Source organism: Homo sapiens, chromosome 14, assembly GCF_000001405.40.
Source record: "Homo sapiens chromosome 14, GRCh38.p14 Primary Assembly".
Classification (NCBI taxonomy): domain Eukaryota; kingdom Metazoa; phylum Chordata; class Mammalia; order Primates; family Hominidae; genus Homo; species Homo sapiens.
Window position 1 is genome coordinate 73,864,249 of NC_000014.9, and position 25,463 is coordinate 73,889,711.

Consider the following 25,463-nt stretch of genomic DNA (forward strand, 5'->3'; position numbering starts at 1 on the left):
AACATTTGTGTATATGTTTTTGTGTGGACTGTGTTTTTGTTTCTCTTGGGTATATACATAAGAGTAAAATTACTAGGTCATACAGTAAGTATATGTTTAACCTTTTGAGGAACTACCGAACTATTTTCCAAAGTGGCTTTACCATTTTCCAATCCCACCATCAGTGTGTGAAGGTTCCAGTTTTCCACATCCTCACTAACACTTGTTATTATCTGTCTTTTTGGTTATAGCCATTCTAGTTGGTGTAAAGTGATATCTCCTTGTGGTTTTCTTTTGTATTTCCTTATGGCTAATAATGTTGAGCATGTTTTTAATGTGCTTATTGGTCATTTGCATGTCTTTTTTGGAGACATGTCTATTCAGATTTCTTGTGCATTTTAAAAGTTGGATTATCTGTGTTTTTATTACTGAGTTGTAAGAGTTGTTTATATATTCTTGATATAAGCTTCTTGCTGGATGTATGATCTATAAATATTTTCTTCTATGCTGTAGGTTGTCTTTTTATTCTCTTGATAGTATCCATTGAAGCACAAAAGTTTTTAATTTTGATAAAGTCCGATTTATCTCTTTTTTTGTTTGTCACGTATACTTTCAATACTTTCAGACTCATATCTAAGAAGGCTTTGCCTCACTTAAGGTCATGAAGATTTAGTCGTATATTTTCTGCTAAGAGTTTTATAGTTTTGCTCTAACATTTAAGTCAGTAACACATTTTGGGTTAAACTCTATGTATGCGTATGAGGAAGGGGTCTGTATTAATCAAGATTCTTTAGAGAGACAGAAACACAAACACACACATAGGCATGCACCCACAGACATGCACACACATATATATGAGAGGGGACTTATAAGAGGAATTGGCTCACAAGATTATGGAAGCTGAGAGTTCCCATGATAGGCTGTCTACAAACTGGAGAACCAGAGAAGCTGGTAGCATGGCTCAATCCAAGCTGGAAGGCCCGACAACCAAGGAAGCCATTGGTATACTTGTCAGTCCCAAGGCCTGAGAGCCCAGGAAGCCATGGGTGCAGTCTCAGAGTACAAAGGCTGAAGAACCTGGAGTTCTTATGTCAGAGGGCAGGAGAAGAAGGGTGTCCTGCTTTGCAGGAGAGAGAGAGAATTTGTCCTTCACCTGCTTTTTTGTTCCATCTGGGCTCCTTGTTGAATGGATGGTGCCCACCCACATTGAGGGCAGATCTTCACCACATAGTCCACAGACTCACCTGCTAGTTACCTCTGAAAACACCCTCAAGGACATATCCAGAAACAATGCTTCACAAGCCATCTAGGCATTCCTCTATCCAGTCAAGTTGACGCCTAAAATTATCCATCACAGGGCCCAACTCATTCTTTTTTACAATCTCAAACTCCCTGGGCTCAAGTGATTCTCCTGTCTCAGACTCCCAAGTAACTGGGACGATAGGTGCAAGCCACCACACCTGACCTAACTTCACTCTTTTGCAAGTGAATATACAGTCGTGTCAGCACTTTTTTTTTTTTTAAGAGAGACCAGAAATATTTGACCACGAAGGGACATGAACCAGCACTGTTTGTTGAAAAGATAATTCTTTCCTCATTGGTTTGTCTTAGTACTCTTGTTGAAAACCAACTGACCATAAATATGAGGGTTTATTTCTGGACTTTCAACTCTATTCTAGCAATCTGTATATCTGTCATGCTAGTACCTCGCTCTCTTAATTACTGTAGCTTTGTAATAAGTTTTGAAATGAGCAAGTGTGAGTCTTCCAATCTGTTTTTCTTTTTTTTTTTTTGAGATGGAGTCTTGCTCTGTCGCCAGTCTGGAGTGCAGTGGCGCTATCTTGGCTCACTGCAACCTCCACTTCCCGGGTTCAAGTGGTTCCCCTGCCTCAGCCTCCTGAGTAGCTGGGACTACAGGCACCCACCACCACACCTGGCTAATATTTTGTATTTTTAGCAGAGACGGGGTTTCACCATATTGGCCAGGTGGGTCTTGAACTCCTGACCTTCAGGTGATCCACCCACCTCGGCCTCCGAAAGTGCTGGGATTACAGGCATGAGCTACTATGCCTGAACAATTTTTTGTATTTTAGTAGAGACAGGGTTTCACCATGTTGGCCAGGATGGTCTTGATCTCCTAACCTTGTGATCCTCCCGCCTCAGCCTCCCAAAGTGCTGGGATTACAGGTGTGAGCCACCCCACCTGGCCTGTTTTTCTTTTTTAAGATTGTTTTGGCTCTTCTGGGTCCCATGAATTTTCATATGAACTTTAGAACCAGCTTGTCAGTTTCTGCACAGAAGATTTTGATAGGGATTTTGATAGGGATTGCTTTGAGTCTGTAGATCAATTTGGGGAGTATTGTCTTCTGTGATGGTTCATTTTATGTGTCCACTTAACTAGGCCATGGGATGTCTAAATAGCTGGTTGAACGTTATTTCTGGGTGTGTCTGCAAGGGTGTTTCTAGAAGAGATTAGCTTTTGGATTGGTGGACTGAAAAAAGCAGATGTCCTTCTCTAATGTGGGTGGGCATCATCCAGTCCATTGAGGGCCTAAGGAGAACAAAATGTAGAAGAAGGTTGCTGGGTGCGGTGTCTCACACCTGTAATCCCAGCACTTTGGGAGGCTGAGGCGGGCAGATCACCTGAGGTCAGACGTTCAGGACCAGCCTGGCCAACGTGGTGAAACCCCGTCTCTACTAAGAATACAAAAATTAGCCGGGTGTGGTGGCAGGCACCTGTAATCCCAGCTACTCAGGAAGCTGAGGCAAGAGAATTGTTTGAACCCGGGAGGCGGAGATTGCAGTAAGCCAAGATCGCGGCATTGCACTCCAGCCTGTGTGACAGAGCAAGACTCTGTCTCAAAAAAAAAAAAAAAAAAAACAAAAAAACAAAAAAAAGAAGAAGAAGAAGGTTGAACTAACTCTGACTGCTTAAGCTGGAGCATCATTCTTCTCCTGTCCTCAGAGTTCCTGGTTCTCAGGCCTTCAGATCTGGACTAGAATCTCTACTGTCAGCTTACCTGCTCTCATTCACTGGAACCACACTGCTGGCTTTTCTGAGTCTTCAGCTTGCAGATGGCAGATAATGGGACTTCTTAGCCTCTCTAACTGCATGAGCCAATACCTTATAATAAATCTCTTCATAGATATGTATGTATCCTGTTGGTTCTGTTTCTCTGGAGAATTCTGATGAAAACAATATCCTAATACACTGATCCATGAATGCATGATGTCTTTCTACTTATTTGGGTGTTCATTAATTTCTTTCTGTCTTTAAAAAAAAAAGATTTTAGGGGAGGAAAAATGATGGAACAACTAGGATTATAATATAAATTGAATTAATGATCTTCACTTCGAACACTCCCAACTTCAAAGCAAAAACAAAAACCAAAAAACCTCTTTTTCCTCCAGGGAAGTAAATATTTTGTCTACTTACTCATTTCATGCTAGAAAGCACAGTCTTGAGAATTTTGCCTCTACCAGGTCCTGTGGATCCCACCTCCTAAATACCTCTCAATTCAGTCCATGTCTTAGTAATTCCAGGGAAGTCTACCTAGTCTGAATCACCGTTGTTTCTTTCCTAATGGGGTAGGTACCCTTGCATACACACTTTGCCCCTTTAAGCCATTTTTCACACTGCAGCCAGAATGCCAGAGTGATTCTTCTTATAACAGCAACTAATTGTGTCACCTTGCTTAAAGTGGTTTAATGGCTTCCCATTAGTTTTGGAATTGAGACCAATCAGCCTTGACATGGTCTAAGAAGCTACATAACCTGGGCTAGGCACGGTGGCTCACGCTTGTAATCCTAGCACTTTGGGAGGCCGAGGTGGGTGGATAACCTGAGGTCAGGAGTTTGACACCAGCCTGGCCAACATAGTGAAACCCCGTCTCTACTAAAAATACAAAAAAATTAGCCAGGCGTGGTGGCACATGCCTGTAGTCCCAGCTACTTGGGAGGCTGAGGCAGGAAAATCACTTGAGCCCGGGAGGCCGAGGTTGCAGTGAGCCGAGATCACGCCACTGCACTCCAGCCTGGGCAACAGAGCAAGACTCTGTCTCAAAAAAAAAAAGAAGCTACATAACCTGACTCCTTTACCTGTCCAGGCTCAGAGAAGCCTGCCAATTACCCTCACACTGTTGCCTCAGTGGATGTCTGTCTTTTGTAACACATCAGTGCCCCCTTCTGCTTAATCTTTGTATGAATCATGTTTTTAATTTAGTGTATTTTAGGATGTTTTGACATCTTAGGGGGCTTGTGAATCCTAGAGTAACTGTCCCTGGCAGGATTTGCTTATTTTTAGAGATAACAACTTGCATTTGAGTCTTGCCATTCATATACAAACCAACCAATCCAAAGCCCATATCCCTAAACTCCTCCTCTATCTAACTCACACTCCCCTGCCTTAAATCACCTCAGGGCCAGATGCTGCACAACTTAAGAACCACCCCTGTATATCAGAGCCCTCTGACATTATTAAAGCTGTCATGTAATATACTCAAGGTTACCTACCCTGCCTTGCCCGTTCTTTCCTGTGGAAACCAAAGATACTTCTTCCTTAAAAAAAAAAAAGAAGACTCTGGGCCATGCTCTTCCTTGCTCCTTTGCCCTCTTGACCAACTCTTGTGCTTCCCCATGCGACCCTTCTTGGCATATTGTGCCCTCCCCTCTCGGCAACTGTAAGAAATTCTTCTTTCAAGGCAGTTGTCTTCGTATCTATCATTTTACCATACCTGGTTAAAACAGAGTCCCAGGTACATATTAAAGCAAGCCTTCATACATGTTGGCCCTCTATCTAAAAGCCTCTTCCCACTCCTTTCCCTTTACCTGGTAATCCCTGTTATTCCCTAGATGCCTGCTTTAAAGAGATTTCCTTTGGTAAATCACCCTGAACCCTCAGACTAGTCCAGACCTCTCTTTGATATTTTCCTCTTGACATTCAGCATTTATCCCAATTGAAAGTAATAATTACATTTGTGTAGTTATTAGATTATCTGTCTTCCTTAGTAAAAAGTAAGCTTATGGGCTGGGTGCCATGGCTCATACTTATAATCCCAGCACACTGGGAGGCTGAGGCAGGAGGATCACTTGACCCCAGGAGTTTGAAACCATCCTGGGCAACACAGAAAGATGCCATCAATACCAAAAAAAGGAAATTAGGTGAGTGTTAAGGTGCACCAGCCACTCTGGAGGCTGAGGCGGGAGGATCACTTGAGCCCGGGAGGTGGGAGGATCACTTGAGCCCGGGAAGTGGGAGGATCACTTGAGCCCAGGAGGTCGAAGCTGTAGTGAGCTGTGATCATGCCACTGCACTCCAGCCTGGGCAACAGAGTGAGACCGTGCCTCAAAAAAAAAAAAAAAAGTTTATGAAAACAAAGTTCGTATTTATCACTGTATCTCCAGTGACTAGCATAATGTTTATTAAATGTTAATTGCATAAAGGAAGGAAGAAAAATCACTTTGGGATACTTTCACTAGACATTCTCTATGCCTCATTCCTTTAAAAAAAATAATCAGGCTGGGCGAGGTGGCTCATGCTGGTAATCCCAGCATTTTGGGAGGCTGAGGCGGGCGGATCACTTGAGGTCAGGAGTTTGAGACCAGCCTGGCCAACATGGTGAAACACCGTCTCTACGAAAACTACAAAAATTAGCCAGGCGTGGTGGCATGTGCCTGTTATCTCAGCTACTCAGGACGCTGAGGCAGGAGAATCGCTTGAGCCGGGGAGGCGGAGGTTGCATTGAGCTGAGATTGTGCCATTCCACTGCACTCCAGCTTGAGTGACAGAGACTCCGTCTCAGAGAGAAAAAAAAAAAAGAATCAGCTGGGCATGGTGGCTTGGGCCTGTAATTCCAGCTACTTGGGAGACTTGAGGTGGGAGGATGGCTTGAAGCCATGAGTTCAAGTCCAGCTTGGGCAGCAACGCAAGACCCCAACTCTAAAAAATAGAAAAATCTTAAGCAACCTTTTTTTTTTTTTTTTTTGAGATAGAGTCTTGCTCTGTGCAGTGGCACAATCTTGGCTTACTGCCACCTCTGCCTCCCGGGTTCAAGTGATTCTCCTGCCTCAGCCTTCTGAATAGCTGGGATTACAGATGCCTGCCACCACGCCCAGCTAATTTTTGTATTTTTTAGTAGAGATGGGGTTTCGCCATGTTGGCCAGGCTGGTCTCAAACTCCTGACCTCAGGTGATCTGCCCGCCTTGGCCTCCCAGAGTGCTGGGATTACAGACATGAGCCACCACACCAGACCTCTTAAGCAGCTTTAAAAGGGAAAAGGGAGTCTAACAAACATTAAATAATTGAGATTTTATATCATTCCAAATTCACAACTAAAATTAATCATTATGTGTACACAGTATTTTACATGATTATCCTTAATGTGCATATACAACTTGGCTTTCATATTCTTTTTATTCTTTTTAAAATTTTTATTTTCATTTGACAGAGAGGAGTGTCTTACTGTGTTGGCCAGTCTGGTCTCAAAGTCCTGGCCTCAAGCGATCCTCCTGCCTCAGCCTCCCAAAGTGGTGGGTTTACAGATGTGCTTTCATATTCTTTAAGTGACTTTATATGGAAAAACTAGTTCAAATATTATTATTTTAGTGGTTAATAACATTCTGTTCTGTTGACATCATTTGTTTAGCTATAGGGAATTACTTGTGTGATATTGTGATTTATAATAGGAAATATTTGGTCTTCTTGCTCTTTGCTGGCACACAATTCCTAAAGCCCTTGGAATCTCCAAGGTGTCTTTTTGTATTCTAATGAGATGACAAGTGGTTGGGAGCTCCTGGATAGCCTCAGGATGGGGGCTGGTTACCAAGGCAACCAACCATATGATCAGAGGGTTGGAACTTTTATTCCTACCACCTTACCTCCAGGTAGGGGACAGCAGGTGAAGGTTGAGTTTATCACCAATGGCCAGTGGTTTAATCAATCATGTCTATATAATGACGCCTTCATCAAAACCCAAAAGGACCTGATTGAGGAGTTTCCAAATAGCTGAACACATGGTGATTCCTGTAGGGTGGTGCACCTGGAGAGGGTGTGGAAACTCCACGCCTTTTCCCATATAACTTACCCCATGCATCTCTTCTATTTGGCTGTTCATCTTTTTTTTTTTTTTTTTTTTTTTTTTAATTTTTGTTCTTTTTTTGTCTTTTTAAAAAATTTTTATTATTTTTATTTGGCTATTCATCTATATCCTTTGTAATATCCTTTATAATAAACAGTAAATGTGAGTAAAGTATTTCTCTGACTTCTGTGAGGTGCTCTAGCAAATTAAACCAAAGGAGAGGGTAGAGTGGGGACCCTGATTTATAGCCAGTTTGTCAGAAGCACAGACCATAACCTAGGGCTTGAGATTGGCATCTGAAGTAGGTGCAGTCTTGTGGGACTGAGCCTTTAATCTGTGGGACCTGACACTATATCCAGGTAGATAGTGTCACAGTTGAACTGAATGGAATTAGGGGACACCCAGTTGATGTCCTCTGCAGAATTGCTTGGTTGGTGTATGGGGAAATACCCCTCCACATCTGTTTTTAGAAGTGTTGAGTGGTGAGTGAAAGGAGGAAAAAGTAGATTTTTTTCCTATATCTCAGAGAGCTTATTTCCATTTTTCCTACTAGCTGTGTTTAAGTGCCCTTGGTCTGGCCAGTGTCTATGGCTGCACTTGCTTTTAAGGAATACGTGGGAGGTGGCACACAAGCAGAAGCAAATGTATTCTTACAGAAGCTTCTGCATCAGTTCTCTGTTTCGTCTTTTACCCGTTTTACCTGGGTACACCGAACCACATGGGACCCCTTAATCAGGTGTCCTTCCATGTTTTCCATTTCCTGGTCCGTGCTGTCGTCCTCTACATTTTGGATTTCATGATAGAGGCAAGAGTGAGCCACAGAGGAAGAGAGCCTTGACTGCTACCAAGAGAAGTTGTTAGCCTTCCTCTTGAGATGGGGTGCAGTCCCATTGTGACATTCTGTCTTTGAGGGGTGAAGAGAGCACTTATCTGAGGTTAGGGGGCATGAAATAGGGAGCGTACTTGGTCTGAAGTTGGGATGAGCAACTGTATAAAATTCACTTCACTTCTTTTTGGGTTATTTCCACTGGGGAGACAGAATTGCTAGCCCAAAAGAAATCAAGTTTTATGGTGTATATGTTGCTAGTTTGTTTTCCATAAAAAATAGTTTTATAATATCAGCAACATGTGAGTGTAACCTAATTGGCCACAATCCTTTGAAACCATCAAAACACTATTTTGTATTATTTTTTGCTGGTATAACGTGTATAATATTACTTCAGTTTCCTTAAGTAATTCTTTTAAATTTTTAGCTTTATTCACTAGCATACATTTCATGCATTTAAATGTACAATTCAGTGAATTTTGGAATACTCACAGAGCTTTGCAACTGTCACCTCAGTTTTTTAATTTTTTATTTAAAAACAAATTTATTGACAAATAAAAATTGTTGCCAGGCATGGTGGCTCACGCCTGTAATCCCAGCACTTTGGGAGGCCAAGGCCAGCAGATCAACGAGGTCAGGAGTTCGAGACCAGCCTGGCCAATATGGCGAAACTCCGTCTCTACTAAAAATACAAAAATTAGCCGGGTGTGGTGGTGCGTGCCTGTAGTCCCAGCTATGCGGGAGGCTGAGGCAGAATAATCGCTTGAACCCAGGAAGTGGAGGTTGCACTGAGCCCAGATCATACCACTACACTCCAGCCTGGGTGACAGAGACTCCATCTCAAAAAAAAAAAAAATTTTTTTTATGGTGTACAACATGATGTTTTGAAATGTTTACAGGCCAGGCGTGGTGGCTCATGCCAGTAATCCCAGCACTTTGAGAGGCTGCGGGCAGTACACGTGAGGTTGGGAGTTCGAGACCAGCCTGACCAACATGGAGAAACCACATCTCTACTAAAAATACAAAAGTAGCCAGGCATGTTGGCACATGCCTCTAATCCCAGCTACTCGGGAGGCTGAGGCAGGAGAATCGCTTGAACCCAGGAGGCAGAGGTTGCAGTGAGCCTAGATCGCGTCATTGTACTCCAGCCTGGGCAAAGAGAGCGAAACTCCATGTCAAAAAAAAGAAAAAGAAAAAAGAAATATGTTTATATTGTGCAGTGGCTATATCATGCTAACATGCTAATTAACATGGATTATATCACATACTTATTGTTTGTGGTGAGAACACTTAGAATCTACCCTTATGGCAAGTTTCTTTTTTTCTTTTCTTTTCTTTTTTTTTTTTGAGACGGAGTTTCGCTCTTGTTGCCCAGGCTGGATGGAGTACAGTGGTGCAATCTTGGCTCACTGCAACCTCCACCTCCCGAGTTCAATTGATTCTCCTGCCTCAGCCTCCTGAGTAGCTGGGATTACAGGCACCCGCCATCATGCCTGGCTAATTTTTGTATTTTTGCAGAGATGGGGTTTCACCATGTTGGCCAGGCTGTTCTTGAACTCCTGACCTCAAGTGATCTGCCCGCCTCAGCCTCCCAAAGTGCTAGGATTATAGGCCTGAGCCACCGTTCCCAGCCAGTGACAATTTTCAAGTATACAATACATTGTTAGCCACTGTTCCCAGCCAGTGGCAATTTTCAAGTATATAATACATTGTTATTAACTATAGTCACTATGTTGTTTCAGGTCTTATGTTTAAGTCTTGAATGTATTTTGAGTTGATTTTTATGTATTGTGTGCAATATATTACTCATTATATGCTTTTAGTCATTGGGTAAATTAGTAGAGTGGTTTGACATTATTGGATAAAATTATCTTAATGTTTTCTTTTTTCAGCGTTGTAGAATGAATGAAGACACTGGCACTGATTATATAACACCTTGGCAGCTATCTCAAGTCGTTGATGGAGGAGGTATTGGAATTATAGAAGAAAGCAAACACACAAATTTGACTAAAGGCGATTTTGTGACTTCTTTCTATTGGCCCTGGCAAACCAAGGTTATTCTGGATGGAAATAGCCTTGAAAAGGTGATATATATATGAACATATCTGATTTTTTTTCCCCGTATAATTCTTACTTTGTGCATTTGATATTCAGTTGTGTTTGTAATCAGGGAAAAATAAAAGCATATATTTTCTTTTAGCTAGCTGCCAAAATGTGGAAAGCCTTTGTTCCTTTTCCACTGTTAGCTGTGTAGGGAAGTTTAAATTGTCCTTCTGAAGGTTTGATAATTGAGCCTGCTAAAATAAACTGACAATAAACAGATTAACAGGAGAAAAACCATTTTAATTCATGTATGTGCACTGGAGCCTCACAGAAGAATAGGAGACTCAAAGGAGGGACCAGATGGTTGAAGGTGTTCTTTATTTGTTTCTTTGCTTGTTTGTTTGTTTTAGAGATGGGTTGTCACTGTGTTGCCCCGGCTGGTCTCAAACTCCTAGGCTCAAGCAATCCTCCCACCTCAGCCTCCCAAAGTGCTGAGATTACAGGTGTGAGCTTGAAGTTTTTATAGCTAAAGGAATGGGGCTTGAGGTTTTTGGGGGAAATGGCAACAAAAAGGGAAAGGGGAGGAATTGCATGGTAAACAAAGGTTATCTTATTGTAGATAAAGTCTCTCAGGTAATAAAAGTTGTTTCAGAGCAGCTGCCAAAAGAATAGGTAATAGCCTGACTGGGTCTGCTAATGACTTTATTTATTTAGAGACGGCGTCTCACTCTGTCACCCAGGCTGGAGTGATCTTGGCTCACTGCAACCTCTGCCTCCTGGGTTCAAGTGATCTTCCCACCTCAGTCTCCCGAGTAGCTGGGATTATAGGTGTGCACCACCACGCCCAGCTAATTTTTTTTATTTTTAGTAGAGATGGGGTTTTGCCATGTTGGCCAGGCTGTTCTCAAACTCCTGACCTCAAGTGATCTGTCTGTCTTGGTCTCCCAAAGTGCTGGGATTACAGGCGTGAGTCACTGCACCCAGCCATTTTTATTAAACTTGTTGTAGAAACAAGAGTCTTACCATGTTGCCCAGGCTGGTCTTGAACTCCTGGCCTCAACCGATCCTCCCGCCTCAGCCCCACAAAGTGCTGGGATTACAGGTGTGAACCACTGTGCCCAGCCTTAATGGTACATTTTAAGCATTAGTAATGAGAACTGTTGGAGTTTGAGTTGATTTTTTTTTTTTTCAAGACAGAGTCTTGCTCTGTTGCCCAGGCTGGAGCGCAGTGGCGCGATCTCGGCTCACTTCAACCTCTGCCACCTGGGTTCAAGCGATTCTCCTGCCTCAGCCACCTGGGTAGCTGGGATTACAGGCGTCTACCACCATGGCTGGCTAATTTTTGTATTTTTAGTAGAGATGGGATTTCAGCATCTTGGCCAGGGTGGTGTTGAATGCCTGACCTCATGATCCACCCGCCTTGGCCTCCCAAAGTGCTGGGATTACAGGCGTGAGCCACTGTACCCGGCCTGAGTTGATATTTATAGGTACATGTTTATGTTGGAATTGCTCAGAGACTTAAAGATCTTCCATTGTTGCCAAGTATTTTTCTGTTAAGCACTTCCTTTTTTTTTTTTTTTCCCATACTTGGGGCATTAACAAGAAAGAATATTTTGTCTCTTACATGGGAAATTTTTTAAAAGTTTCTTTTTTTTTTTTTTTTTTTGAGATGGAGTCTTGCTTTGTCGCCCAGGCTGGAGTGCAGTGGCACAATCTTGGCTCACTGCAACCTCCACCTCCCAGGTTCAAACAATTCTCTGCCTCAGCCTTCTGAGTAGCTGGGTTTTGGGCACCCACCACCACACCTGGCTAATTTTTTGTATTTTTAGTAGAGACGGGGTTTCACCATTTTGGCCAGGCTGGTCTTGAACTCCTGACCACATGATCCACCCACCTCAGCCTCCTTAAGTACTGGGATTACAGGCGTGAGCCACCGCACCCGGCCTTAAAGTTTCTTTAATATAAAGAGAAGTAATATTGTTTTTTACTCTTTACAAATAAAGTATAGAATTTTAGCAAGACTGATGAATGGTTTACTCTTCTATAAACCATATTGGGTTATTTATTATACTGATGGACTGCCATAACAGAGTACTACAGGCTGGGTGGTTTAAACAACAGAAATTTATTTTCTCACAGTTCTGGAAGCTAAAAGTCCAAGATCAGAGTTCTGGAAAATTTGGTTTCTGGTGAGGCCCCTCCTCCTGGATTGCAGATGGCTGCCTTCTTGCTGTGTCCTCAGGCAGTCTTTCCTCTGTGGGTGTGCAGAGAGATAGATCTTGTTTCTTCTTCTTCTAAGGACATAAGTCCTTTTTTTTTTTTTTTTGAGATGAAGTCTAACTCTGTCGCCCAGGCTGGAGTGCAGTGGCATGATCTCAGCTCACTGCAACCTCCTGGGTTCAAGCGATTCTCCTGCCTCAGCCTCCTGAGTAGCTGGGATTACAGGCGCATGCCACCATGCCTTGCTAATTTTTTGTATTTTTAGTAGAGATGGGGTTTCGCCATGTTGGCTAGGCTGGTCTCGAACTCCTGGTCTCAGGTGATCCGCCTGCCTCGGTCTCCCAAAGTGCTGGGATTACAGATGTGAGCCACTGTGCCCGGCCTGGACACAAGTCTTGTTGGACTAGGACCCCACCTTTATGTCCTCATTCAATCCTAAATGTCTCCTTTAAGTGCCTATCTCCAAATAAAGTCACACTGGGGCTTAGGGCTTTACTATATAAATGTTGTGGGGACGCAATTCAGTCCATAACACGTTGTCTCTACTTTGTTGTCTCAAAACAGGAATTCCTAGTATTTTTAAAGGGTATATATTTTATTTTAGGTAGACCCACAACTTGTGGATGGACACCTTTCATATTTTCTTGGAGCTATAGGTATGCCTGGTTTGACTTCCTTGATTGGGATACAGGAAAAAGGTCATATAACTGCTGGATCTAATAAGACAATGGTTGTCAGTGGGGCCGCAGGTGCCTGTGGATCTGTGGCTGGGCAGGTAAACTTTCTGAGAATTATTTGATTTTCTGATTATTTGACGATTGTTATAATTCTTAATTGAAATTCCGGATATATGTATACCATTAAAAATATAAAATTGGATAAATTTTTTTTTTCTTTTTTGAGACAGAGTCTCCAGGCTGGAGTGCAGTGGCGCAATCTTGGCTCACTGCAACCTCCGCCTCCTGGGTTCAAGAGATTCTCATGCCTTAGCCTCTAGAGTAGCTGGGACTACAGGTGTGTGCCACCACACCTGGCTAATTTTTGTATTTTTAGTAGAGATGGGGTTTTGCCATGTTGGCCAGGCTGTTCTCGAACTCCTGGCCTCAAGAGATCCACCTGCTTCGGCCTCCCAAAGTTCTGGGATTATAGGTGTGAGCTACCACGCCCAGCCAAAATTGACTAAATTTATAATGACTTTCACACGTTTCTTGTAGAAATGGTTTTTTTTTTTTACCTACTTAGACTCTCTTACTAACAGTATGAAAAATGTAGATTTTAGTGTCTTATTCTCTGTTAACCAAAAGGAGATATAGTAAATGCTAAAGCTTTGCTTTCATTATTATAAGGAAGAGAATGATAGAGAAGCTGTTTGGAATTGCATGAATTAAAAGTCAAACTCACATTTTAAATTAATATCCTCAAATAAGAAACCACTTATTGAATTCTAGAAGTGTAAACATTTTGATAGAATTTTATGAAGTCGGCCTGGCACAGTGGCTCATGCCTGCAATCCCAGTGCTTTGGGAGGCCAACTTGGCAGGATTACTTGAGGAAAGGAGCACAAGACCAGCCTGGGCAACATAGTAAGACTCTTCAGTAAATAAATTAGCCCAGCGTGGTGGCACGCCTGTTGTCCTAACTACTTGAGAGGCTGAGGCAGGAAGAGTACTTCAGCCCAGGAGTTTGAAGTTACAGTGAGCTATGATTGCACCACTGTACTCCAGCCTGGGTGACAGACCCTGTTTCTTTAAAAAAACAAAAAAAGAATCTTATAAAAGTACATCCTTTTATAAATAATAGCCTTTATAGGTTGAAACCATTGAAAACAAACATTGTGTCCGAGCTGTGATTTTAGTTCGCCACAAGCTTGAAAAATAATGAATTGCACGTGATGTTTTGGGTCTGATTATTTATTCCTTTTATGAAATCAGATTTAATTTGCGAAATTTTATTTTTTTAAATTTAATTATTATTCTTTGATTTTATATTTTTCAATGAGTGAAAGCCAAAAATTGTGAGATTTTAACATTTAAACTACCTATGGTCCCCAACTTATGATGGTTCTACTTTACAGTGATGCAAAAGCCCTATGCATTCAGTGGAAGCCATACTTTGAATTTTGAATTTTGGTCTTTTCCCAGGCTAGCGATATCAGTATGACACTCTCTCGAGATGCTGGGCAGCGGCAACAAGCTGTAGCTCCTGGTCAGCCACCGTATGTGGCTGAACAACTCCGTGAATCATGCCCAGCTGGAGTGGATGTTTATTTTGACAATGACCATAAGGGTAAACAACTGGTACTCTACGGTGTACTGTGTTGCCAGATGATTTTGCCCAGCCATAAGTGTTCTGAGCATGTTTTAGGTAGGCTAGGCTAAGCTATGATGTTCAGTAGGTTAGGTATATTAAATGCATTTTTTGCTTAGGATATTTTCAACTAATGATGGTTTTATTGGGACATATCCCTATCATAAGTTGAGGAACATAAGTCTACCTTTGTTCAATTTTAATAATTTTTTTTTAGGATGACATTGTCTGCCCTCAGTTCTTTTAGTTTCAAATTACTTTTCATTAAAAGCAGCGTAATCTAACCTTAATTGTAATGAACACTGTCATATACCTGTAATATCTTGTATACTGGTACATTTTTACATTTAAATGTGACAATATAAAGCCATTTAATCTTCAAATTTCCCCCCTAGATTGGCCATTTCTTAGGTTGTTCCAGAGTGGTGGGAATTTGTGGAACACATGAGAAATGCATCCTCTTGACCTCAGAACTGGGCTTTGATGCTGCAATTAATTATAAAAAAGACAATGTGGCAGAACAGCTCCGTGAATCATGCCCAGCTGGAGTGGATGTTTATTTTGACAATGTTGGTGGTAACATCAGTGATACAGTGATAAGTCAGGTTGTTTGCTGATTTCTATAACAAATTTGAATACTGCACTTTATATGTTGTGATATCTTTTTACCTAATACTGAGAAAAAAATTTATAAAATTGGAGGGATTATTGTGACTTAATGTGATGATCAGTATTGTATTTAAGTGATACAAAAGAGCTTGCTGATACCTACTTCCATTTACTTGCAGATTTGTACTATGAACTTCAATTTCAGTTATTTGCTACCAATATTATATTTTTCACTTTTGGTTTATTTTTGTGAAAAATTACAGTTGCATTGTTGAAATGCTGAAGCACTGATCCCTAACTCACCACTGACCAACTCACAGCCATGGCCCCAGACCTATGGGTTTCATAGGCTGCATGTATTTATGCATATTTACTAACAATATTATAAAATATCAACATGAGGTATTAACACTACATAGTCCTTTGCTGCATCTAAAATTATTTGCAGTTGAGATTATTAAATTGTTTAAATCCAAAAAAATACAGTTCTACCACTAATAAGTAGCAACAACAACTAATGTAATTCTTTTGCTGATTACCAACCATTTATTTGCCTTGGTGTTCCTTTGGAATGTAATTATTTCTAGCTAGTTAAAATTCTTAAATACCTCTAACAGGTAAATTAAAAAAAAAATCGAACTAGTTGACAGAAAGGATTAAATAGTCAAGGAGGCTTCCATTATGGCAGCCATAAAATCAGTAAACATAGGAAAGGGATATTTTATCATTATTTTTCTCTGTGCAGATGAATGAGAACAGCCACATCATCCTGTGTGGTCAAATTTCTCAGTACAACAAAGATGTGCCTTATCCTCCCCCGCTATCCCCTGCTATAGAGGCAATCCAGAAAGAAAGAAACATCACAAGGTGTGTTCTTCCTCTTTGCCCTTATTACCAGGTTCATGGGGTTTTAAATATCATAGATGTGTATGAAATCTATTGTTCTTCATAGACACTTTTTCTTTATTAAATAAAACTTTAGGTCGGGCATAGTGGCTTATGCCTGTAATCCTAGCACTTTGGGATGCCGAGACGGGTGGATTGCTTGAGGCCAGGAGTTCAAAACTAGCCTGGCCAACATGGTGAAACCCCTTCTCTACTAAAAATACAAAAAAATTAGCCGGGTGTAGTGATGGGCGCCTGTAATCCCAGCTACTTGGGAGGCTGAGGCAGGAGAATCACTTGAACCTGGGAGGTGGAGGTTGCAGTGAGCCAAAATCATGCCACTGCACTCCATCCAGCCTGGGCAATGAAAACGAAACTCCATCTCAAAAAAACAAAAAAAAAAAAACAAAAAAAAACCTTTAAAATACACATTTTTTAAGCTGGTTCAATATTTAGGTTCTGGCTAACTAGCTACCTGAAAACTGATAGTTATTGGCTTTGACTGGCCTGGGTTAAGTCACATGAGGGTCGAGAAAGGATGCTACCCACAAAGGAAAAATTCACGGTGCTATTAACAAATGGGGTTGTAGATACTGGGCAGACAAAAATTATTATTATTTGAGATGGAGTCTCGCTCAGCCGCCCAGGCTGGAGTAAAGTGGCGCGATCGCAGCTCACTAAAACCACCGTCTCCCAGGTTCAAGCGATTCTCCTGTCTCAGCCTCCCGAGTAGCTGGGACTACAGGCGCTCACTACCATGCCCGGCTAATTTTTTTGTATTTTTAGTAGAGACGGGGGTTTCACCGTGTTGGCCAGGCTGGTCTTGAAAAATTATTAATAGAAGTCTACATTTACACCTGTAACTATGCATAAAACTATCTGATCAGACTCAATGTGTTATGTCCTAATATTTTAAGGATTAACAGATATTAGAATTCTGGAATGGTTTGATCTTGGAATACCACTCCCGTTATATTCTCTGATCATTATCCTTTTCTTCCTCACTGCAGGGAAAGATTTCTGGTATTAAATTATAAAGACAAATTTGAGCCTGGCATTCTACAGCTGAGTCAGTGGTTTAAAGAAGGAAAGCTAAAGGTAGAACTTCTATTCTTTATCAATATAATTCTTCCTGCTACTTGATATAATTTTGCATTATTTAAATGTACTATAGCAAACATACTAGTTTCATTATAAAAATTCCTACAAAAGAAAAGTATGCTGAATATTATAAATTAACTCTACCTCCCAGGTGAGTATAACCTCCTGATCAACAAACCCTTGCTTGTTATTCCCTTTATCTAAAATTTTTTAGCTTTACTTTCCATAGATTATATTACAAAATCATTAGGTTTTCCCCCAAATGTAAAATTATGTTTATTAATTTAACAAATATTTATGGGATGCTACTATGTGTTAGAAGCTGTGCTTTCTCAAAAATAATGTGAGCACCTCCTGATGCTTATACCACCATACTTCTTCCCTGTCCTCCCTGGACATTCTAATGTATGTCTTAGTTGTTGATCGAAAATCAGGAGTTATTAATCTGGGCTTCAGACATACTGGCCTAGGCTATTCTTTTTTTTTTTTTTTTTTTTTTTTTTTTTGAGACGGAGTCTCACTTTGTCACCCAGGCTGTAGTGCAGTGGCGCAATCTCGGCTCACTGCAACCTCCGCCTCCTAGGTTCAAGCAATTATTCTGCTTCAGCCTCCCGAGTAGCTGGGATTACAGGCACATGCCACTCGCTCAGCTAATTTTTGTATTTTTAGTAGAGATGGGGTTTCACCATGTTGGCCAGGCTGGTCTCAAACTCCTGACCTCAAGTGTTCTGCCCATCCAGCCTCCCAAAGTGCTGGGATTACAGTTGTGAACCAGTGCACCTGGACTGGCCTAGGCTATTCTTGAAACCTGCAAATGATAAGCAAAGTTGTACCTTTGTGTGCTTCTGTACTGTTCTTTTTCTGTTTTAGAGTGTATAGCTTGTGATCTGTTACTAATTGAAGAGATTAAACAATGGGAAAATAGGATATTACTTTAAAAAATCAATTGATAGGAAGCTTTTCTGGGCTACCTACATGAAATAAAGAATATCTATTTTTAGACAAAGTGCTAAATAGTATTGCTGGCTTTTGTAAGTATGGAAACTATCATATAGAAACATTGAAGTTTAAAGACTATTAAATCTAGCTATTTTGATTTACAGATTAAAGAGACGGTAATAAATGGGTTGGAAAACATGGGAGGTAAGATGAATGTAGACTTATTATATACACATGCTCAGCACACAAAGATAAAGTCTCTTTATTTTTATTTATTTATTTTTGAGACGGAGTCTTGCTCTGTTGCCCAGGCTGGAGTGTAGTGGCATGATCTCAGCTCACTGCAAGCTCCGCCTTCCAGGCTCACGCCATTCTCCTGCCTCAGCCTCCCAAGTAGCTGGGACTACAGGCGCCTGCCACCACGCCTGGCTAATTTTTTGTATTTTTAGTAGAGACGGGGTTTCACTGTCTTAGCCAGGATGGTATCGATCTCCTGACCTCGTGATCTGCCTGCCTTGGCCTCCCAAAGTGCTGGGATTACAAGCGTGAGCCACCACGCCTGGCCCTTTTTTTTTTTTTTTTTTTTTTTTTTTTTTTTTTTTTTGAGACGGAGTCTTGCTCTGTCTCCCAGGCTGGAGTGCAGTGGTATGATCTTGGCTCACTGCAACCTCCACCTCCCGAGATCAAGCAATTCTCCTGCCTCAGTCTACCAAGTAGCTGGGACTACAGGCGTGCACTGGTATGCCTGGCTAATTTTTGTATTTTTAGTAGAGACAGGGTTTCAACATATTGGCCAGGCTGGTCTTGAACTCCTGAATTCAAGTGATTTGCCTGCCTCGGCCTCTCAAAGTGCTGGGATTACAGGCGTGAGCCACCGCACAGGCCAAAGTCTTTTATCTTTTAATGCTACCTCTCTGGCCTCCCCTTCCCTGCCCTTCCCTCCCCTCACCTCCCTTTTTTTTTTTTTTTTTTTTTTTTTTTTTTTTAAAGAGATGATCTTGCTCTGTTGCCCAGGCTGGAGTGCAGTGGCATGATCATAGCTAACTGTAACTTATGAACCCATGGGCTCAAGCAATCCTCTCACCAGAGTAGCTGGTACTACAATTACCTGCCACTATGCCCAACCTTTTTTTTTTTTTTAATTTTCCATAGAAACAGGGTCTCACTATATTGTCCAGGCAACTCCTGGCCTCAAATGATCCTTCTGCCTCAGCCTCCCAAAGTGCTGGAATTTACAGGTGTGAGTGCCTAGCCCTTTTTTTAATTTTTGAGACAGGGCCATGCTCTGTCACCCGGGCTGGAGTGCAGTGGTGCGATCATGGCTCACTGCAGCCTCTACCTCCCAGGTTCAGGTGATGCTCCCACCTTAGCCCCCCGAGTAGCTGGGACTACAGGCACACACCACCACTCCCAGCTGATTTTTGTATTTTTAGTAGAGATGGGGTTTCACCATGTTGGTCAGGCTGGTCTTAAACTCCTGACTTCAAGTGATCCACCCACCTTGGCCTCCCAAAGTGCTGGGATTACAGTCGTGAGGCCCCATGCCCGGCCTTCACTCACATTTTATTCCCATTTTTTTTTGCCTCTAGTCTTCAGATACTGTAAACAATGAACATTGATGTGCATACCAGTTAGATACCAATTAAATCTTTCCAGTATGGGCAAAACATTTTTTTAAGATGTTAATTGGGTTAGTTTGTGTGTAACTTTTTACTTGAGATTTCTTTTCATGACCATTTTCTTCTATGCTTAATATTCAAAATCATTGAAAAAGTTATTTAACATAATTTTATATGTTGTACCTTTTGGAAACAAGTATGATAGTGACATTTATCTTTTCAGATAACCTACTTTCTCTTTTTCCAGCTGCATTCCAGTCCATGATGACAGGAGGTAACATTGGAAAGCAGATAGTTTGCATTTCAGAAGAAATCTCTTTGTAATTGCTGTAAATGTCATCAAGGCAATCATAGATTTCTTTTCCATTTTGCATATTTTCAAAGATATGTTAAAAAATCCTTAGACTATACATAGCTCTTGATTTAAATGTGATCATAGGTGTTATTTTTAGTTGCATAGGGTATTTGATACAATCATTAATGGATCATACACAATAGGTTTTTAAAAATTAATAACTTTTAGTAATTACTTTTATTAATTTAAAATAGAACGCTTGAGAGGCACTTTGTAAAGATTTGTTAAACTGGAAACGTTTTACATGATCTGATACAACCATTAATGAATCATACACAATAGGTTTTTTAAAATTAATATTAATAACTTTTATTAATTTAAAATAGAATGCTTAAAATAAAATAGAATGCTTGAGAGGCACTGAGTAAAGATTTGTTGAACTGGAAATGTTTTACATGATTCTTAAACTGAAACTTGGTGTAAAAATAGAATTGAGATGGCCTTTTTTTCACATTGTAGACTGAAAAGAGACTTAATGGTATGATGTGTACATAGGGACTGGGGGCAGGATTGGGGGTTTCGGAGCTTGTGTAACAGTTTTTGGGATAGGAGACCAGCGGTTTTGGGTTGGGATTAGTATGGGAAGATAAATAACTTAGGTTGGTTAAGTTGACAAGATTTACTCCAGAGGATCATCTCTTTGTATTTGCCAAATAATTTACTGTATAGCCTAAAAACTCCATATATATTGAGAAAAGCATATGTTTATTTTAGGTTAGCAGGCACATACTGTCAAGTTGTAAAGATTGAGAGGGCAAACAGATGTAAACATCACTTGTAGGTGATTAAAAAGATTGACAGCCGGGCCTGATGTCTCAAGCCTGTAATCCTAGCACTTTGGGAGGCAGAGGCGGGCAGATCACTTGAGGTCAGGAGTTCAAGACCAGCCTGGCCAACACGGTGAAACCCCATCTCTCTAAAAATACAAAAATTAGCTGGGCGTGGTGGCACACGCCTGTAATCCCAGCTACTCAGGAGGCTGAGGCTGGAGAATCATTTGAACCTGGGAGGGGGAGGTTGCCGTGAGCTGAGCTTGCACCATTGCACTCCAGCCTGGGCGACAAGAGTGAAATTCCATCTCAAAAAACAAAAACAGATTGACAACAAAGACAGTTTCAGAAAATGACAGGACTGGGCAAATTAACAAATGTTTGTAAACATGAATGTTCAGGAACTACTGATGTACCTCAAAAGTTTGTTTTATTAATTGTACTCAACCCTCGCAGAACAGTAAAACTGAAGATTATTGTTTCTGAATGTTTTGGCTTATGATTGTCTACACACTGCCAATATACTTTTGTATGCAACATTTGTAATAAGTAGATTCAAACTGTGTTGGTAATCAGCCTCCCCAGTTTTCGTGAGTGGCCCTTTTTTGTTACTTTTCCTGGACCATTTCATCGCCTGAGGGGGTTTCACTTTTCTCTGTATGTTGCTAACTCCCAAATCTCCATCTGTATTTCTGACCTCTTTCTTGAGCACTGGACCTTTACCTCCAAGTAAATATCCTCAACTCTGGATTGCATCTTATACTCTGCTTTTTTCTTTTCTTTTCTTTTTTGAGATGGAGTCTTGCTCAGTCGCCCGGCGTGCAGCGGCACGATCTCGGCTCACTGCAACCTCCGCCTCCCGGGTTCAAGCGATTCTCCTGCCTCAGCCTCCCGAGTAGCTAGGATTACAGGCGCGTGCCACCACGCCCGGCTAATTTTTGTGTTTTTAGTAGAGACGGGTTTTCACGGCGTTACCCAGGATGGTCTCGATCTCCTGACCTCGTGATCCGCCCACCTTAGCCTCCCAAAGTGCTGGGATTAAAGGCGTGAGCCACGGAGTCCGGCCTACTCTGCTTTTCTAAAGTGGAATTATCTTCCTCTGAAATGTTTCTCCTTTATTTTAAATCACCATTAGTAATTTGTGTACCCAAACCTGTCATCAAGGCTTATCTTTAACCTTGAAAATGCCTTTTTAAAGAGAACTCCTTTAATTCCCACGGTTGAGTCTCTCATTCTTCCGCACGCAAATATTTTAAAATAAGTAATTTCAAGAAGTCAGTCAAACTCACAAAGCTTTAACAAGGTGGCATCCAGCTTGGAAGTCAAGTGTTCAAGCCCGCAGTCGGGACATCCAAGAGCTCTTTACATCCTAATTACAACACGGAACCCAGACTCACTGCATACCCCGTCCCGTATATAATGCAAAACTTGATTCTGCAAGTTCCTTTCTCGGGCGGTGAAACTTCGAAGGTCCTCTCCATGGAGACCTTTGATAAATGTTTAAGCAGTGATCTTTTCTTTCGCGTTTGCCTCCATTGCAACGCCTCCGCTGATGGGAAAAACTACTCCCTCCGCTACTGCGGGGTGGCAGTGACGTCAACGAATTAGCTGACCTGTTTTTTCGGGCTTCGCGGACATAGGAGTCCCGAAGGCCGAGAGTGAGTGAGTGAGTGGGAGCGGGGCGGCTGCGGCTCCTCCTGTCCGGGGCGGAGCCCTGCGTCGCGGGCCTGGGGAGGCCCCGCCAGCACCCTTGACGTCTGGGTCCCGAGCAGTGCGGCAGCCACACGACACTGAGGCGAGCGAGTGGGTGTGTGCGTGGGGGGTCAGCCAAACTTCCTGTCCCGCGCTCGAGCTGCTTCCGGCGGGAGCCGGAAGACGCTGTGTGTGGACGGAATTCGGGACCGACTGACGGCCGGCCGGCTTCCCGGAACTGGAAGGTGAGCTCCGAGGTGGGCCTGGCCACCCCTCCTCGGTTAGGTAGTACCCGAGAGGGCGGGGGCCAGTACCGGCTACTTGGGGCCTGGGGCCGAGTTCGCCCCGAGAGAGGAAACCGCCCTCCTTGGGCATCCCTCCTGGATCTGGCGGGCCCGGGAGCGGCCAGTCTGAAGCCCTGCGGCTTTGGCCCTTCCCCTCGCGGGTTTTTAGGGGCGATGTTCTTGCTCCTTTGCTTGGTTTTGGGGGTAGGGATATAGGAACAGACTGTCCTGAGAAAGCCAGAGTCAGCGAGTCCCCGGGGCGGGGGCTCTTGGACTGCACCCGCAGCCGGGGCCTGCCTACGGACCTTGGGGCCTTATTTCTGAGGCCTTTGTGGTGTGGGGTAGAGGATGCCAGGAGGCCTTGCCCTGAATGTTTCAGTCCAGAGCTACCCTCTCCTTTCATACCACTTACTTTCTGGGTTTGGAAAAGGGACAGCTGCCTACTCGGCTGGGCTGGGTCGCCCGTTTCTCCTTTGCCTGTCAGTTCGGGGGGCAGGAGTGTGTGGATTGTTTACGGCCTTCATACATTTCGTGTCGAATTTATTTTCTGAAGTTTCTCAAGATAATCCAATTTATTAAAGTTTATCCCACTTGATCATGAGGCTCAGAAATGCATTTAGGCACCATTTGGAAGTTAAATATTATTAACTTGGGACTTAAGAATTAGTACTTAGGTTGGAACGAAGGTCAACGCAGCATATTTGCAATAAATAAAAAACATTTGGAAATAAAGTCGGGCATTTTGTTAGGGAGTGAGAAATTGCACTTGGTTTTTTCTTAGTGTGGTGCAGAGTAAAAGACAACTAAAGTAGCAGTCAGAAGTTTTAAGTTCTAGTTTTTTACGTTTTGCATCTAAGTAGATGTCTAATTTTTGGCAAGTTGCTGAATCTCTAGCTCTGGGGAGTTTTTCTGTAAACGAAGGGGTTTACCTTTAGGGCTATGACAATTTTTCCGAGGCACTGAACTTTGAGTAGAAGTGACATAAGCATTTCTTTGTTTTGGAAAGATAACTTGAATGGCTGCATAAAGGATGTATTGGAAAGAGGAATTTTAAACGCGGGGTGACCAGTTAGAGGCCTGTTTTAATAGTATAGTAGAAAGTTACTGAGAGACCTAAACAGGGCATTACAGTAGGGAACAGAGAACATTCTGGGAACAGAGAATCACGGGAATTATTTAAAAATGGAGAATGAGAGAGATTTAAAGACCTAGAATTTGCAGCTGAGTGGGAGGAAGATTGGGCGATCATTGAAATAGGTAATACAAGAAGAACAGGTTTGGTAAGGAAGATAATAATCTGGATTTTGGACATTGTTAGGTTTGAGATGCTGTTGGATATACATGTGGAGATACCTAGCAAGCAGTTAGAAATGAAGGTTTGGAGTTCAGAAGAGATGACTAGAGAAAAATGTAGGTATCATTTGTAGTGTCATTCATTCATTATACAAATATTTAGTACCTACCAGTTGCTTACTGGGAAGCTTGTATGGAAGCCCTTTAAGCTCATAGTAAACACATTAGAAGTGGGAAGTGACCGTTAATGGGCACAGGGTTTCCTTGTGAGGTGATGAAATATTGTAAAATTGATCGTGGTTCTGCTTGTACAACTCTGAATGAACTAAAGATATTTTAATTGTACTCTTTAAATGAGTCAATAGTATGGTATGTGAACGATATCTTAGTGAAACTAATTTTTAAAAAAGATTTACATTGCAGTTTTGGAAATCTGTTGAGTAAGGAATTGGGAATAGGAATGTTTAATTGTGTATTTGCCGTTACACCTATAGCTAATGTACATAGTACGTTGCTCTGTTAAAGATGAGATCCCCACAGTACACTTGATAAGATACTGAGTGCTCTAGTACAAATTCTTTTGAGTTCAGTTGCATATCTTAATGCATCCTGCTATTTTTTATTTTATTCATACCGTACACATACAAATCATAAACTTGGACACAAAAATTGTATGGTAGTACTTAGTTATAATATGAATACCCAGTGCTTGAGAAAATGCTCGTGTTAATTTTTAAAGATTATTGAAGTGAAAACACTGAAATAAAAAGATGTCATAGATAACATAAAAAGGACAGTAAATAGTTGTCTGGTTCCTCAGAGATTTTACAATCCTGGAATCTCAAAGTTGGAGGAACCTTAAGGATGACTTAAACAACAAACATCTGATAATTTCTTGGCTTGTTAAGACAAGCTGGAATTGGGGAAGAGGAATTCTTGTTTTTTTTGAGACAGCCTCCATTTGTTACCCAGGCTGGAGTGCAGTGGCGTGATCACTGTTCAGTGCAGCCTCGATCTCCTGGGCTAAAGCAATCCTCCTACTCAGCCTCCCTAGTAGCTAGGACCACAGGCATGTGCCACCATGTGATGCTAATTGAAAAATTTTTTTTTGTAGAAATAGAGTCTCACTGGCTGAGATCGCGCCACTGCACTCCAGCCTGCGTGACAGAGCGAGACTCAGTCTCAAAAAAAAAAAAAAAAAAAAAAGAAATAGGGTCTCACTGTGTTGCCTAGGCTGAGAAAAGGAATTCTTAGGCCATGGAGATTCAGGGTCAAACCTAGAGAGATGTAATCACTATTCACGCCAATGATTTCTGCATACTTCTGGTGTGGGTGGGAGTCCTGGCTTTGCAACTTAATAACTTGGTAATTAAGTAATATACTGAGCCTTGGTTCCTTCCTCTCTAAATAGAGGGATGGATAAACCATATGAAACTGTTGCAGTGCTTGAATAAGAAAAATATG

General features: G+C 41.8%; 2 protein-coding genes across 19 annotated transcripts in view, besides 3 other annotated features; both read left to right on the plus strand.

Moving 5' to 3' along the window:
• Positions 1-21,478, plus strand: part of PTGR2 (prostaglandin reductase 2) — a 33,896-nt gene extending 12,418 nt beyond the window's left edge. For 4 of the 13 annotated variants that reach the window (NM_001146154.2, NM_152444.4, NM_001371325.1 and 1 more), the window contains exons 4-10: positions 9,775-9,966; positions 12,750-12,920; positions 14,848-15,057; positions 15,807-15,928; positions 16,957-17,044; positions 18,151-18,190; positions 19,853-21,478. In NM_001146154.2, coding sequence (NP_001139626.1) covers positions 9,775-9,966; positions 12,750-12,920; positions 14,848-15,057; positions 15,807-15,928; positions 16,957-17,044; positions 18,151-18,190; positions 19,853-19,929 — 900 coding nt within the window. In that variant the 3' untranslated portion in view covers positions 19,930-21,478. Of the gene's footprint in view, positions 1-9,774; positions 10,220-10,335; positions 10,429-12,749; positions 12,921-14,847; positions 15,058-15,806; positions 15,929-16,956; positions 17,045-18,150; positions 18,191-19,852 lie in introns of those variants that run through there. The other 9 variants (NM_001371330.1, NM_001371331.1, NM_001371332.1 and 6 more) reach the window with 5 other exon arrangements.
• Positions 20,860-20,969: an enhancer, noted in NCBI's record as "active region_8721". NCBI's record gives its function as "activates an Ori minimal core promoter by ATAC-STARR-seq in GM12878 lymphoblastoid cells {active_cell/tissue: GM12878}" and the evidence as "EXISTENCE:reporter gene assay evidence [ECO:0000049][PMID:35858748]".
• Positions 22,271-22,550: a silencer, noted in NCBI's record as "silent region_5922". NCBI's record gives its function as "represses an Ori minimal core promoter by ATAC-STARR-seq in GM12878 lymphoblastoid cells {active_cell/tissue: GM12878}" and the evidence as "EXISTENCE:reporter gene assay evidence [ECO:0000049][PMID:35858748]".
• Positions 22,601-22,670: an enhancer, noted in NCBI's record as "active region_8722". NCBI's record gives its function as "activates an Ori minimal core promoter by ATAC-STARR-seq in GM12878 lymphoblastoid cells {active_cell/tissue: GM12878}" and the evidence as "EXISTENCE:reporter gene assay evidence [ECO:0000049][PMID:35858748]".
• The window catches only part of ZNF410 (zinc finger protein 410), a 45,663-nt gene continuing 42,810 nt past the window's right edge, over positions 22,611-25,463 (plus strand). For all 6 annotated transcript variants that reach the window (NR_040251.2, NM_001242924.2, NM_021188.3 and 3 more), the window contains exon 1: positions 22,611-22,667. The gene's annotated coding sequence lies outside the window, so the exon portion shown is untranslated. The remainder of the gene's footprint in view (positions 22,668-25,463) is intronic.